General features: G+C 53.2%; 1 protein-coding gene across 6 annotated transcripts in view, besides 1 other annotated feature; it reads left to right on the forward strand.

Moving 5' to 3' along the window:
• Window positions 1-17,108, forward strand: part of SDK1 (sidekick cell adhesion molecule 1) — a 967,749-nt gene that overhangs the window by 853,203 nt on the left and 97,438 nt on the right. For all 6 annotated transcript variants that reach the window (NM_152744.4, XM_047420038.1, XM_047420037.1 and 3 more), the window contains 2 exons: window positions 3,994-4,097; window positions 7,332-7,402. In NM_152744.4, the coding sequence (NP_689957.3) occupies window positions 3,994-4,097; window positions 7,332-7,402 (175 nt within the window). The remainder of the gene's footprint in view (window positions 1-3,993; window positions 4,098-7,331; window positions 7,403-17,108) is intronic.
• Window positions 14,494-14,994: an enhancer, noted in NCBI's record as "H3K4me1 hESC enhancer chr7:4208580-4209080 (GRCh37/hg19 assembly coordinates)". NCBI's record gives its function as "activates a minimal SCP1, AML or CMV promoter by ChIP-STARR-seq in naive H9 embryonic stem cells {active_cell/tissue: H9 hESC(naive)}" and the evidence as "EXISTENCE:reporter gene assay evidence [ECO:0000049][PMID:30033119]".

Below are 17,108 nucleotides of genomic sequence, written 5' to 3' on the forward strand. Positions count from 1 at the left end.
TTTGGGAGGTGAGGCATGGGGAATGAGCAAAGGCCCGGGGAGTCACCAGGCAGCATCAGTGGCTTCCTGGGGACAAGTGAGGGCTCCGGGGTGGGGGAGCCAGAGAAAGCTTTCGGGAAGACAAGAAAGAGCACATCACATTTATTCATTGCCTGCTGTGTGCCACGATCCACCCGACTCCATGAGGATGCGTGATGGGATGTCATTTTCACGACAGCCCTGGAAGCCCCGGTGCTGCTATCTCCATGTCCATAGCCGAATACAGCAAGGCTCTGAGACACTGACTTGCTCCAGTGAGTAGTGGCAGAGCCAGCATTGGAATTCTGCTTAGCCCACTCCAAAGCAGAGGTTTGGGCTGGCTTGGAAGTGTGAACAGAGTGCAGAATTGGGAGGAGTTAGAAGGGTTACAGGAGGGTGTTCTTGCATCCTGTGTGCATTTGTCCCTTTATCATGGAGTCACCAAAATCCATGCTCTGCCACAGGAGGGAGCATGGCAGGAGCAACGGGGGTGGGGGGCTTGAGGATCAAACATTTGGTCTAGGAGGTAGACCAGTCATCCACAGGAGCAGCGCTGCAGGGAGGTGAGGCAGGTTGGGGTGAGTGCACAGAGGATGCTACCGTCTCTAGTACTGCAGAGCCAGGAGAGGGGTTGATAGCACTGCCCTCTGCCTGCCTCATTTGGGCAGTGGGGCTGCTGCTCCCATCGGCTGCCTGCTGGAGCTGCTTTCTGCCTGGTTTTGGGGGCACTGGCGTGGCTTCCACCGAGAGGGTTAACTCCCCCAGATCCGCATTTTGTGTTCCCTGCAGCTCACAGAGACACTTAATCAATCCTTGTTGAATGAAGTGAGTCCGGCAAAACACAGGCCTCACGCTAAGAACCCTGCTCTCTGTCCTCCTTTGCACCCAAACCCATTTGTCTGGGAGCCAGGCTGATTTGTCCAGCCACCTGACACGCACTTATGGCACACCACGTGTGCCCGGCTCAGTGCCAGACCCAGGCAGGACAGTGGAGAAAGAGGGGTTTCAAGGAGCTTGCAGTGTGGCTCCAAACCCCCAAATCATAGCAAAGTGTGAAGTACTAAACAGTGGAGTGCTGAGTATAATTACAGTTCAATGCCAGAGGCCAGTGAGAAAACAAATACATCAATAAGTAAGCATAATCGCAAATAAATAAATAAGTAAACAAATCATTTCTGCAACACCTACTGTGTGCCAGATACAACACTGGTATTTACGTGTCCTCATAGGCAACCCCCCACCCCAGCCTGAGAAACTTCGCAGATGGGGAATAGCATCCTTATTCAATCCTTCCACCCATAGATCTGAGCACCTCCTGGGTGTTCTTGGCTCTTGGGATACAGCAGGAAAGGAGGCCGACTCGGTCCCTGTCCTTGTGGATGTTGAGTCTTGTAAAGACAGATAGTCGTCAAGGAAATGTCACCCATCATGATGCAGAAGATGAAGGGAAGGAACAGGGCACGGGGGACAGCAGGCAGGGCCATCTGAGCAGATACTTGCAGATCCATAGGAACAGCTGATCCTTAGTGAGCTTGCCCCACACCACACACCTGACTCTGCTGAGTGTCTCACCTGAGTTTAAGCCTCACCTCAGTTTCACGATGCCTGTGCTATTAGCCCAGGTAAGGAAACTGAGGCAAAGTATGCTGTCCAAGGTTAACTGGGAGGTAGAAGCCAGGCAGTTTGACTTTGGGGTCCACATTCCTGATGCCCACTCTGCTGCCTCCTGGTACAGGAGCCAGTGGGGCTATGGTGGGTGGCGCAGGGGGAGGAGGCAGGGAGGTCGTGGGAGAAGACACATGGTTATCACCCAGATGAGGCAAAGTAACTCCTAGGATGCCAGGAACAGAGGGGAAATTGTTTGTTTTAACTTAGCAAAGGCTGTCTACCAGAACTCTGGAGCAAAGGTCATTTTTATGGTCGGACTTCAGAAGCATCTCCATTAAAGCTGGGACCAAGGCCAGCTGTCTCCTGTGGCTGTTTTTCCAGTTGTGGACGCTGAGTGCAGAGGGTCTGAGATGTGCCTGCGGTCAGGGACTGGGAAGTACCAAGACCAGACCAGGTTCTGGAGGGCTGCAGTGGAAAAGCAGGCCTTGAGGTGTGAGCTGGTAGAGAAACAGTGTCACCTGGTCTTAAGCAGGACGGGGACCTGAAAGCAGGAATAGAATCTAATCATGGTTTCCAAAAATGGTTATCAGTTTTCTAAAAAGCAGAATCCTTCCTTTAAACCAAGTATGACCCAGGCCGAATGCATAAACCTGATGGGCATGGAGCTCTTGTTGGCTGATGGGGGCTGTGTGGGCCTCTGGACTTCAGAGACTTCAGAGTCCTGGGGGTCCACAGGGCTCCATTTGAAAGCCACTGGTTTACAGATTCCATTGGGAGTGAGGACAGAAGACTGGTTTTCAGGTGATGAGGGCTTCGGTTTAGAGTGATAGTTGAGACTTTTAGACATGGGTAACAGAGGTTAAGAGTCCTGAGGCACCCCGAGTTTTCTGGTCTGGAAACTGAGGAGGATGGAGCCCTCATCTATGAAGAGCCGCTGCCCGCCAGGGAGGAGAACAGAGCAGTTTCCTCACTTGCTCATTCGGAAGTCGAATGAAGGGTATCTGAGAGGAACCAGCCAGTGACTGGGTTGCAGGGCGGGTCCCTGACCGGCTGGGGCTTCACCAAGATCCCAGCATTGTCTGCACGGAAGAGTTTGGCTGAAGTCTTAGTCTCAGGCATGGCATGGGGCTTGGCACAGGAGACCCATTGCATGTGGAGTAGCTGGACGGACGGACGGAAGGAAGGAAGGAAGAATGAAGGAGGGGAAGGAAGAAAGGGAAGGGAAAAGGAAGGAGGGACGGGAGGTGGAAGGGAGAGAAGGGAAGAAGGAAGGAAAGTGGGAAGGGAGGAAGAAGGGAGAGAAGGAATGAGGGGAGGGAGGGAGGAATGAAGAAAAGGAGGGAAGGAAGGCAAGAGAAAAGGAGGGAAGGGAGGTGGAAGGGAGAGAAGGAAGGAGGGAAGGAAGGGAGGAAGAGGGGAGAGAAGGCAGCAAGGAGCGGGGAGGGAGGGAGGAAGGAAGGTGGGTGGGCAGATGGAAGCGGGCCCGAAGTGCTAACAGCAGAAGGCACCTCAGGAAAACATGAGTCCCGTTAAAATCTCCGTCGACGGGCTGGGGGTATTTTTCACTTGGATGCTTGACAGGGATGTGGTCTTTTGTAAAGTGACATGTGAATATTGCCATTTACTAGTCTTGTAGCAGTGGGCCTCAGTTTTATCATCCTTGAAATGGGAATAATGATGCCTCCTCTCCCAGAGCTCGTGTGAGTTCAAAGGGGTTGCACTTGCCAAGCGCCTGGCACCGTGTCAGCCCCAGTGAATGGTAGGGGTGCGGGGCTGGCGGGTCTCTGCCTGCAGCCGGCCAGGAAGTGGACCTTAGAGAATGCTGCAAGGCTGGGTCTGGCCCAGTAAAGAGCTCCAGGAGGACGGAGCGTGAGAATCAGGCAGGAACTCATTTTATACTTCGGATCAGCACAAGGGCCCGGGGAATTAGCTCTTCCTGAGGACTTCTCTGGATCCCTTGGAGAGCAGTGATGTGCCGACTAGAGTGCAGGGGTGGCTCCAGTGAGGGGTTGGCACTGCCTCCCCGAGGAGCCCTGAGCAGAATCTTCCCCCTGGCCAGGACGCCCTGCACTCCCTGCCCTCTGTGCAGCTCCTTTCTCCCTGAGGATTTCAACCGTCCAGGTGTTCAAAGGCTTCTCCCAGGACAGGTCCAGGGTCTCCTTCAAGCCCCTGCTCATTGCACCTAGGAAGTGATTGGGTCCGACCCAAGAACAGCCTCCTTGCTAAGCTGTCTCGGGCCCACACAGGAGCCCAGAGCTCTCAGGGCAGGGGAGGGATTTGCCCCTCTTCCCAGGGCTTCACCAGGAATGCCTGAGGGCAGGACAGGGTGGCAGGGCCCCGGCAGTCACGGTCTCTTCCACATTGCAGACTGAGGCCCTTCACCTCCTACAAGCTGCGCCTGAAAGCCACCAACGACATTGGGGACAGTGACTTCAGTTCAGAGACAGAGGCGGTGACCACGCTGCAGGATGGTGAGCAACCCGGGGCCCAGACCGCGTTCCTGGCCGCTGCCCCTGGAGCCCGAGATACTTAGGCCACACTTTCGTCTTGAGCCAGAAAGGGGCCACCAGGGAGTGGTGGAAAGCAGTAGAATTCCATTAGTGACAGACAGCTCGGAGGGTTTCCGCACAGCCTGTGGTCATAAATCAAGGTTTCAAGGGCTTCCAAATGGAATGGAAGTTTCTTTGATTGGCTTCTAAAGCCCCTACTATCCATTAGCATCCCAGAAATTGAATAATTGATAGGGTCATTAAAAATAAATGTCAGCGGGTAGCTGGGTTTTAAGAGATTTTCCCCATTTTTCTCATTCACGAGCCACTCTTTGACAACAGCGCAGGTAAGTGATGGGAAGCGAGGTCTCCTCAGAGCTCCAGGTGGCGTTTTCAGCCGCTCCGTCCTACCTCGGCGGCGTCAGGCCTGAAGATGGATTGTTATTCTGTGTGGCCCAGGCCTGTGGCGAGCCCAGGAGGCAGCTCTATCAGCCGCGTCCAGCGGTGATCACAGGACGGGTGGGATGGAAAAGAGTGGATGGTGGGTAATAGCTCAGCTCCCAGGCTGGAAACCCAGTACTTAGTTCACCCAGCAGCGTTTCATCATCATTCCCGCAACCTATCCCCAAAGCACTGTCTTTTCCATTTAACGCTCCAGTGGAAGAATTTTCCAATAAACCAATTTCCAGCTGGCTCACCCTGTGACCTCACATCTCCACTTCTGCTCTCTCGATGACCTGGAAGTGTGGTTTCTCCCACATAGGCCTCCCTTGGCCTCAGGGACCAGCAGAGGGTTTGAGCAAACCATTCCCGGCTTCTCAGCAACTCACAGAGGCTGTTTTGCTGCAAACCCTGCACTCCCAGCAGAGCAGAACCTGCAAGAGCCTCCAACAGGCCCCAGCTGTGCTCCCAGGAAAAGCACACTTGCCCCTGGAAAAGCACTGGCTGGCTTCTGTGGCTCCTGCCTCTCATCCAGCTCTTTTCTGAGCACAAATCCTGGGAGTTTATTGGAGCTTTGGGGAAAGCCAGTGAGAAAGAGAGGAGCCGTCCCGGGTATATGGGGTGGTCCAGGGCCCTAGTGAGCCCTGCTGGGCCCTGAGGAGCCGGGCTGAGCCCCAGGAGCTCACTGTCCAAGGGTCCCACATCGTTAGATTCAACCAACTGTGGATTGAAATGTTCAGAAAAAAAGTTAAAAATACAAATTAAAGATATACAGTGTAACAACTGTGTATTTGTTTGGAGAGTGTTATGACCTTGTACAATTTCTAGATTACTCATGAGAGCTCCTACAATTATAACATTGTAACATTGTTATGTAACAGTATTACAAATTATAACGTTGTAGGAGGACTGATGAGTAACCTAGAAATGATTTAAAGTATGCGGGAGGATGTGTGCAGGTTACACCTAGAAATGATTTAAAGTATTCAGGAGGATGTGTGCAGGTTACATGCAAATACTGCACCACTTTATTGTTAGCAAACCTGGAGGCAAAAGCTACTTGTAACTGGAAAAGCCTTTCCGGTTAATCTACTTAAAGTGGGGACCAATTTCACACTAAACCACAAGGGAAAGGCTTTGCAGGAACTAAATTACAAAACAAAAACTATATAAATGCATTCATTTTAACGTTACCTTTAACACAGTTGAGGTAATGTTTGCAACTAAGCACTAAATCTTAGAATAAAGAACAAAACCCCACACAAGCTGATGTCATTGTCGTAATCTCTCTGACAGATTGTGTGAAAGCAAAGTGCAACAGCCTCCTTTGACCTCCAGGGCAGCATCCAAAAGGACCATTTTTGAAAAAAATATTGAAGGGCCTCTTCAGACTCCAGAGGCCTTTCTTACCCTTTGATATTCAGATTGGGCTTTGATGCACCTATCTTGTCATCGCCTTCCCTGGGATGTGCAGTTTCTCTTTGCAATGGAGTTGCATTGTATTTGTGTTGTATTGTCTTACACTATCTAGAGATTGACAGGCACAGACTCTCTCCAGGGGTTGGGGAACCCTCGGCAAGATAGGGAGAGTCCTCTGAGTATGTGGACGGTTTACTGATGAACAGTTTCTTTTTATAGTGATTTCTATTTCCCTGCACAACCTCACAACTCAAGGACATTGAGAACTCCCTGTAATGGCACCGCTGTATCACCAGGGCTGTCAGGAAGCTGGCTAGAGGGCCCACCATTAAGCTGGAACCACAGGAGGTTAAGGGGGTTGGAGGGAGACCCATCCCTAAAACAGAACGGGGAAGGTGGAGGTGTGACTGATGCAGGCACTGCCAGGGCTGAGGAGGGGGTGTCTGGCAGGTCCAGAGGAAAATCACAGAGCCGGTGACCCCGGGACCCAATCTTGGGTTCTAAGTGGAGAGGCATCTGCTAGATGCACAAGTGTGCCTGTGGGAAGAACATCGTCATTCCGTTCAGTGAATATGGACTGGATACAGAATGCGTGTCACACTTCTGCTGGGCCCCCGGGATCTTACAGCTGGGAGGCATAAGAGTTCAGCTCAATATGCCAAGACAGGACCACACAGATTTGGAGGGAGCAGAGGAGGCAGGGAAGAGGGGCACAGAAGACCTCTTGGATGTGGCAGATGACAAGAAGTTTAGTTTGGCTAGAGTGCAGGGCATGGCCATAGGCAGAGGTCAAACCAGCCTTGTCCCTCCAGAGAGCAGAGCAGAACCATGGCAGACTCCCCTTCACTTCACCCTGCTGTCCCAGCCAGCTGCAACCTCACCAGAAATCAATCTCCTTTCCTGACAGCCTTTTAGTGTTTCAAACCAAGTGACCTGGCATGATCATGTGTCCTATTCAGGAAAAGTAGCTCTCACCTAGGTATCTTAAAAAAAAGAGAAAAAGATAAGTTCCCCTGCTCTCCCAGAAGACCTGAGCCCTGCAGGGAGGGTCTCGAGCCAGAGAGCTCCAGGACAGCCTCACTGGAGGGGTGGCTCTCGGAATGTCCACCACAGGGAGAGCCCAGTCTGGGTCTGTTTCTCGGGGCCATTGTTAAGGTTGGCTCCCTCCTATCCCGAGGACAGGCTTTGAAGGAGAAGCTCTGGGAAGCCCCGAGGAAGGGCAGGAGAAGGGGACCCCTGGAGAAGGAAGGAGGCAGGGCTCACCAGCCTCCCCATACTCACTGAGGGTGGCCCTGGGAAGGGCGGCAGAACATAACAACCACCCTGACCCCCGCTTTCCTCTCCTGTGTGTTTCAGTTCCAGGAGAGCCCCCGGGATCTGTCTCAGCGACGCCACACACCACGTCCTCTGTCCTGATACAGTGGCAGGTAAGAGCGCGGGGAATCACGCGCGTTTTGTCAAATGTGTTCTCATTTCCCTGCGCATTCAGCCACAACGGCTGACATGGACTGCAAGCTGAGCCCTGAGCTAAGCGTTTGAGAGTAGAACCAAGGAGACACACCCTCAGACTCAAAAACGCGAGGGGGAAATGGTGTCAATTATCATCTCGGTGTAATTTCCAAAACATTAGAAGCAGGACTGTGATGCACGTAGAGAATGAACTTGACTCCCCTTATTCAGGAGGGACCGGCAGGATGGGGAGGCCAGTCTGAGAGCGTTGGAGGAACTGGGTATGTCTTGGCATTTCACCGAGGACGTTGGAGCAAGGCTTCTGTGTATACACAAATTGGTTATCGCCCTACAAGGCAGTAAAACTGCAACCGCTGGAGTTAGCTTTTCTAGAGAAGTCATCTGCAACCAGACAAAATATCTACCGGATTGTACATATTTTCCCAAAGTCTGGGGGTGGGTGGTGGTGGTGGTGGTGGTTGTTGTTGTTGTTATTATTATTATTATTATTATTATTATTATTATTATTATTATTATTTTGGGACAGAGTCTCACTCTGTCACCAGGCTGGAGTGCAGTGGCACAATCTAGGCTCCCTGCAACCTCTGCCTCCCGTGTTCAAGCGATTCTCCTGCCTCAGCCTCCCAAGTAGCTGGGATTACAGGCGCATGCCCCTACACCCAACTAACTTTTGTATTTTTAGTAGAGATGGGGTTTCACCATGTTGACCAGGCTGATCTTGAACTCCTGACCTCAGGTGATCCACCCACCTCAGCCTCCCAAAGTGCTGGGATTACAGACATGAGCCACTGTGCCCAGCCAAGTCTAGGCCTTTAATCTCCAATGTGCAGTGAGTTAAATGAAGGCATATTCTTCCAGATAATCACACACTCCTTGTTGGGCCTGCTCAGCAATGCTCCAGTAAGGCATTGAAGGACACGCTGCCGTCTCTTTCCCTTAGTTTCAATTTTGGGCAATGCTTACTGACAAGTACATTGATGACAAATATAACAGAGGGACAAAACTGCCCAAGGAAGGGCTGCAGGCCCCAGGGAGATCCCAGCTGAAGAGTGGGGCGGGGAGCTGTGCGGAGGACTCAGCCCAGGGCCTGTGTAGCCCGGATCCGGGGCAGACAGATGTTGAGTTTCCCCAGGGCTAGAGCTTGGCCTGGCAGCAGACACAACAGATGGACAGGCAGGGGGCCAAGCACGAGGGCAGAGTCAAAGTTTCTGGCCCACAGGGAGGTTCCTGAGGCCAGAATGGGGGCTGCTGTGCCAGGGAGCTGGGAACATAGTGGGATGGGGCCAGCATGGGGTGGGTACGGCATGAGGACAGGTCAGCCTGGGAGTGCCTGCTGGGAGCTGGGGTCAGGAGGGCAGTCTGGTGGGCACGAGATTCTTCCTTGGGGCTGAAGCTGTCCTCAAGGACAATGGCAGGGTGCCCGATGCAGCAGGTGGGAATGATGGTTCGGGAAGTCAGGAGAAAATCAAGAGGGGAACAGTGGTCTAGACATGGCCTTGGAGGGCGAGGGGATGTCCCGGCCACATGCCCTCCGCCGGTGCAGGGGAGGCAGGAAGGGGTCCTGTGGAAAGTGGGGGCTGCGGGAAATGGAAGGGATGCTGGGAAACACAGCCAAGGCCACCAGTAGGTGTCCCAGACAGAGCATCTCCCAGGGCCCTGCAGAAGGGCCACTCCAAGGGACAGTGGCTTCACTTTGCAGCACGGAGGATGAGGTCCAGGACCAGGCTAGGACAGGAGGTGCCAGAGATGCCTGCTGGGCCGGGAGAGAGACGTGCTGAGTGAGCAGCGCCAGCCGCAGCCTTCCTGGGCATGGTCTTGAGGTGCGTAGTGCTAGAGATGCCAGAGAGGAACCCGGTGAGCAGAGCCAGGCTGGGCTGTGGGTGGGGCCAGCCAGGGGGAGCTTGGGAGGGGCTCCGCTTTCACCCTCTTGCTGTATGATCCTATGAAATATGACCATGTTTGAGGTATGAAAGTGGCAATTTATGTGATTCAACCTGATATCACTTGCTACTGCCACTTATCTGAGGGATGGAGAGTAGGCGTTTAACAAGCTGGGTTCTGTGAAGAGTGTGTCATCTCCTTCAAGTGTCCATGGAGGTGTGCGGGGCTGCGTCTCGGCTGCCTTTCTCTTGCTAAGGGATCCAGCTTCTCTGGGTAGGATAGGAACCTTTCCAGGCAATGAAAGAATGTCCCAGTGTCTCCTGGTGGAACTGGAAGAGCACTTCTGTGGCACTCAGCCCTACTGAGTTTACCAGAGCATAGGGGGGCCAGAGTGGGAACCACGAAAACAGCCTGGGCCCCACCTCTGCCCCTGGGAAGCCACAGCCCCTGATCTGTCTGGGAGCCACTGGAAAAGTGACGAAGGACCCACCCGCAACTTGCCATCGGGTGACTGTGGCCCTGAGAGGCCCCTCTGACTCCAGGTTCCTCCTTTGTAAGAACAGAAGGTCACAAAGGTGAGCTCAGGTCTCACACAACATCTCCAGTCTTTGGGGGCCGCTAGACCCCCAGACCCGAGCTTCAGCCCTGACTCCCGTGAGGGTCTCCGGTGGGAGGTTAGAGACATTCAAAATGGAAATGCAAAGTCCCAAGTGCTCGTTTCCCAGCCTGCACCAACACAGTCAATCACAAGAACATTGGCACTTTGTACCATGCTGAATCCTACCAGAAAATTCACATTTTCTTTGTAGACGTGGCGGCAGCCTGCCAATACCTTACCTAGGTAAGCTCCTTTCCTATAAAGGCAGTGAGCATCAGGGCTGGGATGCGTCACCTCCTCCAAACAATGGTTGTGAAGGCATCACTTGCTGTCAGCCCCAGTGGACGGTGCAGGGCTCGAGCTCCCCTTGGTGCTGCTGGACAGCTCAGGGACGTGCCTAGTGCCACCTGGAGGAGCTGGGCTGGTGTGTGCATCAGCCGTCCCCCTCCAGAGCCCAACAGAACAAACTAATTGCAAGAAGACCAGAGCAGGAGGTGGTCAATACAACGTCCTGTAGAAATAAATGCTTGTCAACTGCCAGGCAATTGAAGTATAATTAAAATTATGAGTAATTTACTGCATTAGAACAAACAGAACAAAGAAAAAGAAACTAGGTTTAAATATAGATTTGCATTCCAAATAAAATGTTTCACCTGTAAACCTTTTGTGTTTTTTGTTTTGTTTTGTTTTGTTTTTTTAGTAATTACTTTAAAAATGCAAACACAGGGCCAGCACTTTGGGAGGCTGAGGCGGGTGGATCACCTGAGGTCAGGAGTTCAAGACCAGCCTGGCCAACATGGTGAAATTCTGTCTCTACTAAAAATACAAAAATTAGCCGGGCGTGGTGATGGGCGCCTGTAATCCCAGCTACTCGGGAGGCTCAGGCAGGAGAACTGCTTAAACCCGGGAGGTGGAGGTTGCAGTGAGCCAAGATGGCACCATTGCACTCCAGCCTGGGCAACAACAGCAAAACCTTGTCTCAAAACAAACAAACAAACAAACACGGGCTGTAATTTCAAGGCTTATAGACCCATTTAAATGCCTCCCTTAGTAGACTGTCAGGCTTGATTATTCTTAGTAGGACAGTCAATCCTTGCCTTTCATGGGATCCAGTTCTGTTTGAAAGCTAAGGAGTAGAACTCCTTCTGTCTTCCAGGGTGGAGTGCAGTGGTACGATCTCGGCTCACTGCAACCTCTGCCTCCCGAGTTCAGGTGATTCTTCTGCCTCAGCCTTCTAAGTAGCTGGGATTACAGGCCTGCACCACCATACCTGGCTAATTTTTGTATTTTCAGTAGAGACAGGATTTCATCATGTTGGCCAGGCTGGTCTCAAACCCCTGACCTCAGGTGATCCACCCACCTTGGTCTCCCAAAGTGCTGGGATTACAGGAATGAGCCACCATGCCCAGCCTTGTGTTTTCTTTTAAAGACAGGGTCTTTCCCTGTCACCCAGGTTGGAGTGCAGTGGCGCAATCATAGCTCATTGTAGCCTCCAACTCCTGGGCTCAAGCAATCCTCCCACCTCAGCCTCCCCAGTGTCTAGGACTACAGGTGTGCACCACGATGCTTGGCTACTTCTTCAAAAAATTTCATAGAGATGGAGTCTCACTGTATTTCCCAGGCTGGTCTTAAACTCCTGGACTCAAGCGATCCTCCTTCCTTGACCTCCCAAAGTGCTGGGATTACAGGTATGAGCCACTGCCCAGCCTGTAAGTGGGTTTTGAGACTGTTTTCTAGCAAAGAAAAAAATCCCAAGCAATTGATCACACCATACGGGAGGCTCTCAGTGTAAAAGGCACCTTCCCAGAGGAGGGTTACATCTGCCTGGGCAAAGGCAGGGAGGCATCCCGCCGCTTCAGAACACATCTTGGGGCTGTTTCTTTTTCTCTTCACTTGTGCCACCCACAGAGGACCAACACCTGCATGGAGTGCTGAGTTCCAGAGGGGACTGAGGCAGGCCACAGAATGTGAAGAGCTTTCATTAAGCGCAGTGGGCTCTTTAAGGCATTGATAGGAAGACAGCAGAAGGAACGAAACTAACTCTGGCCAGAGGGGCACCTGAATGCACTTGGCAGGACTGCCAGGCCCCTGCAGTGAAAGGCTGGAGAAGCGCGTGGCCCCCGGCACAGCCTGAGGAAAGGCTCACGGGTGACGTCACTGGTGTTTGATGTTGTGTCTCACGGGTATTGCGTGTTGAGCCTCCTGTGCTCTCAGAACCATCAGGACCAAACTCCGGAGAGAATCCCTGTTCTACTCTCCACAAAGCAGAAGGCACAGGATGGAAAGTGAAAGCTCAGATGGTTTCACTGAGCTTCCGGCCCGGGGGACCACGGTGGCCGGATCAGATTTGGATTTGGGCACCTGCTCTGCCTGAACTCGCAGGAGACAGTGGCACGTGGTTGAGCCTCCCTCAGCCCAGCTCCCTGTCTCTAGAACTAGGAGAGTTAGGCCCTGCCCTGCTGCTCCCCTACCTCAGCAGAGAGAGCTGGGTGGGAGGTTCCACAGAGGCCAGCAACGGCAGAGGGTCCGAGGTCACCGTTCAGGCAGCTGGAAGGAGAGAGGCTTTCCCTGCAGGTCCTGCCTCCTCCTACCCCCAGGCCTTCCCTCCACTCAACTCTGTGGCTCCAAGGTGCCCACCCTCCTGGGTCTTCCCCAGACCATTGACTTCTTCCTGCCTCCCCTACCTGGTGATAAAACCCAGGCACACTCCTACCAGGTCATTTGCATTTAAACAGGCTCTTTTGCTGTGGCACGCCTGTAATCCCAGCACTTTGGTAGGCTGAGGCGGGCAGATCACGAGGTCGAGATTGAGACCATCGTGGCCAACATGGTGAAACCCCGTCTCTACCAAAAATACAAAAATTAGCCGGGCGTGGTGGCGGGCACCTATAGTCCCAGCTACTCAGGCTGAGGTAGGAGAATTGCTTGAACCCGAGAGGCTACAGTGAGCAACCCAGGAGGTTGCAGTGAGCCAAGATCACACCACTGCACTCCAGCCTGGCGACAGAGCAAGACTCCGTCTTGAAAAAAACAAAAACAACAACAGCAACAAAAAAACGGGCTTTTGAAAAATGAAGAACCTCCAGGAGGCTGCTGGCGAATTTCTGAGGCGTGGCAGGCACAGGGAAGGTGTTTTGAGGCAGGACTCCCAGTTCCCTTCAAGCTTCTCTCCACACAGATGGCCAAGCCAGGGTGCAGTGACACACAGATGAGGTCATGTTGAACTCCGGCAAGTCCCACTCCACCCCAGGGCTCTGACTGAGCATCCGCCATGGCTGAGGCCTGGCCCAGGTGCTCTGGGCATTTAAACATGAACAAGACCCGAACATGGCCTGCCCCTGGGCATATGCAGAGTCAGAGACATGCGAAGGGCTGGGGACACGGGTCTGTGGTGCAAAGCGAACCTTTTGTTTCCAGTCATATAATACTCTGGAGGCCATCTGGCCAGACTTCTGCCTGTCTTGGGCACAGGGTTGAGCCTGGGAGTTTGAGCAGTCAGCCCAAGCTTGTACTGCAAGGTGGCTGCAAGGCCACGACCCAAATCTAGAGCCTGACCTTGACCTCATGGGTTCCATGGAGCCGCCCTGCTGATGCCTCCGAGCACCTCCGGAGTTGGAGAGCCTCTTTCACAGATTACAGACAGGTTAATCCCAAAGTCCAGGAATGGAAAATATGGTTGAACCCAGTTCAGAACCCTGTGCAGGCAGGCCCGGGCATCTCTGTGAAGCCACCGGACCCTTTGTAAGTGACGCTCCCACTGGGAAGATGACACCTGCTAGCAGAGTGGCCTCTGCCAGCTGCTGCCTTCAAGGAAGCCACCCTCTGGGGGCACGGCCGCCTGGACCCCCTCCCCAGGCCTGGAAGACTCCTGCCAGGAGCGGATGCATTTTGACTCTTCAGTGATTTCTGGTGCAAACAGCATCAGTTAGCCTGTTGGCCAAATGTGGCCCCAGCCCGGTGGCTGACGGACACTGTGTCTGTTGGGCAAGGCGGATTGGCCATTTCTTATAGCTCTAAATCATCTCATTCGCCTAGGCTAGAAATATCTGTGAGTCCAGGATCAGTAATCTTCGGCCCCTTCCCCTCCATCTTCCAGCCCCAGAGGCTGGGAAACCACACTTGGGCCCAGGGAGAACATTTTTATTTTCCCAACCTCCTAACTTCCTGCTTAGTTGATAGTTTTGGTGAATTGAATCCAGCCTTCGTCACGCCACCTGAGCTTCCCTCCTCCCCCAGAAGTAAATTGCACTCTCTGTAATCCTGTCTTGTCTGTGCATCTGCAGAGCTGGCTGAAGGCCTCTGCAGTCTTCCTTCTGAGGTACCAGTTCCTCGAGCTGCTGCAGGTCTATTCTGGGGCGAGAGGGAGGCTTTGAAGGTGACCTCAGGGCGAGGTTGCTTGGCTGGTACTTACAGAGCCCCTGCTGTAAGCTTTTGATCTGTCTGCTCGCCTCTTCGTCATGCTGATAGTCAGTCCAGAGCCCAGAAATGGAAGCTGAGGTCTCTCATCTTCACTGCCCAGACTCCAGCCACTCCCACCCCACCACCAGTGTGAACAGCAAGGACAGGACTCCCAGCAGGACCGCCTGGGACCATCTGGGTGGACCAGGAGCCTTGGGCAAAACAATCCGGCTCTCTGGGTGCGCAGGCATGTGCTGGGTGAGAGCCATTAGCGGGGACCTGTTGCTGTGTGGTTGTCAGGGGCCCAGGAGAGGAAAGTCAGAAGCCCCCAGGGTCTTGGAAGTCACTGCCATCTCTCATTCAGCAAAGGGCTCCTGTCAGTGCATTTTTGCAAGACTGGTTGTTACCGGGAGTAGCAGTAACCCAGGAATCCACCAAGCCCATCCATGGCTCCGGTGGATTGGAGGAAGCTCCGTTCTGGCCAGTCTCCTTCTGGGGAGCCCACCCAAGTGGGGAATGACCCGGCACTTGGGCTAGTCCTGGCTCAGGCACTGGGAACTGTACCTGTAGCCTGGCTGCTGCTCCTAGACCCACCCAGACCTGCCCCTGCCCTTCATGCCCCTCGCTCCCGTCTAGTGGGGCTACACCAGGCACTGTGCCCGCCTTGCAGAGGGCCAGCCCTTCTCCCCTCATCAAAAGCCGCCTCCTCCTCCAAGGGCAGCTCAAACGCCATTCCCTGCAGTTATCCTCCAGTTCTTCCTGGCAGTGAGCTCGCCGTCTCTGAGGCTTCAGAGCCGCCTTCCTCACTCAGTCTCTGGCACCCGGTGCACTATAGCTCAGGAGATCTCCTAGATGCAATGAGACGGCAAGGCTGGAATATATTCCCCAAGGGGCGGAGCTCAGTGTTTGCGTGCATTCCTCCAGTAACATGCCCTGAGCTCTTGGTGAGTCAGTGTGAGGAGACAGGTGCAGCTTTTCAAGGAGCCACAGCACCAGGCCTTCCTGGTGGCTCTGGCACTGCCCTCCCTCCCTGCGGGAGGGCCCCTGGGCACAGAGCTCTCCTGCCTCCCTTAGAGCCACCTCTTTGCAGTGGCCCGAGTCACACAGGACAGATGCGCTGTATTCTTTAGGGTCAGCAGAATGACCATGGAAAGCAAACGGCCATGGAGAACACTTCCTTGGGGCTCAGTACAGAAACCACTCTGTCTCCTCTTTCTGAAATCCAGATGGCCTGCGGAGAATTGCCTCTCTTCAGTCTCACATACCGACTTTTCCAACTTTTCCATCCATTGTATTTCTTCTAAGAAGGTTAAGTAAACCTTCTATTTCATTGTGGCTAACAGTTGTGTTTGAAGAAGGATGCCTTACAGAATAAGGGTTTTAATTTCAGTCTCAGCTGTGGCCCATGAGATAACCAGGGCTAGAGTTTGAAAGAGCAGACTGCAGGATCACCTAAGCCCAGTAGTTCGAGACCAGCCTGGGCAACATGGTGAGACGTCATCTCTACAGAAAATTTAAAAATTAGCCTGGTGTGGTGGTGCAGGTCTGTAGTCCCAGCTACTCGGGAGGCTGAGGCAGGAGGATCGCTTGAGCCCAGGAGGTCGAGGCTGCAGTGAGCTCTGATCGCACCCCTGCACTCCAGCCTGGGTGACAGGGTGAGATCCTGTCTCAAAAAAAAAGAACAGAACAGACTACCTGGAACCCCCTTGTGTGGTGATGTGAGTGGATGTGCAAGTGTGTGTGTGTTATGCACACACAGGATTTCCACCACGCCCCCACATCTCTGGTGGTGCTTTCATCACGACACTGTCGGGAGCCAGATTGCAGTTGCATATAATACTGACCGGTGCCCACTCCTAGCACAAGGGACTAATTTTTAAAGACTAAGAGTAAAACAACTGAAAACCTAAAAGCTGCTCTGAATGTGATTCTATAGACTCCACAGGGAGGAAACCGAACATGAACCCCATCAACACCCCCAGTTTTTAGGAGACTGTCTGACATGCCCAGCCCTAAGGGATGGGGTGCAGAGCAGGACTGGCGGCCCGGCATGGGGGAGCTGGAGAAAGAGCAAATGAGCAGCCCAGGACACCTGTGAGTGACTGTTGCCGGCGTCCCAAACACTGCTTTGTCGTCAAAATCATAGAAAAGGAAAAGAGCATTTAGTAAAATCAGCAGGCACTGTAGCCTCCCCTACCTGTTCCCCTATCCAGCCTCGACTGTGCCTGTAATTCTCACTCCTTCCTTTTCTGCCAGCTTTCAGCTTCCCAAACTCATAGCTCCCTGGTCAGGTTTGGATTTTATTGTTTTCCTGGCAAGTTGAGTAGTGCTGGGAACTCCTTGAGCCGGTGAAGGGGTGCCTGCTGGAGAAAGGGGTCAGTGGCCACAGGGTGTGGACGGATGGGGTGGCCACGTGCCCCAGGGACCCTGCCGTGCCTTGCTGATCGTCTGCCGCCGCCTCGGGTACACCGCACCCTGGAGAGACCCTCATCTGTGCTGGCTCACTTTCTGCTTTGTTTCTCTAGCTCTATTACTGGAGGCGCTTTGAAAAGCTTTTCCATCTGTAGATTGTCCCGATGGAAGGCAAGCAGCGCCGGGGAGGGAGCGGGTATCCAGAGAAAACCTGGGATGCCCAGTTACATCTGAATTCCAGAAGAATCATTTTCAGATTCTGATTTAGCTGGGTGTCTTGTTTTTTTATAGCTTTAAAAAAAGCAAAAAAATCAAGAGAGCCTCATTTGACATTGAAGTCCCGGGCTCTGGTTCGGCGGTTCTGGCCTGGTAGC

Source organism: Homo sapiens, chromosome 7 (genome assembly GCF_000001405.40).
Source record: "Homo sapiens chromosome 7, GRCh38.p14 Primary Assembly".
In the NCBI taxonomy this organism is placed as follows: Eukaryota; Metazoa; Chordata; class Mammalia; order Primates; family Hominidae; genus Homo; species Homo sapiens.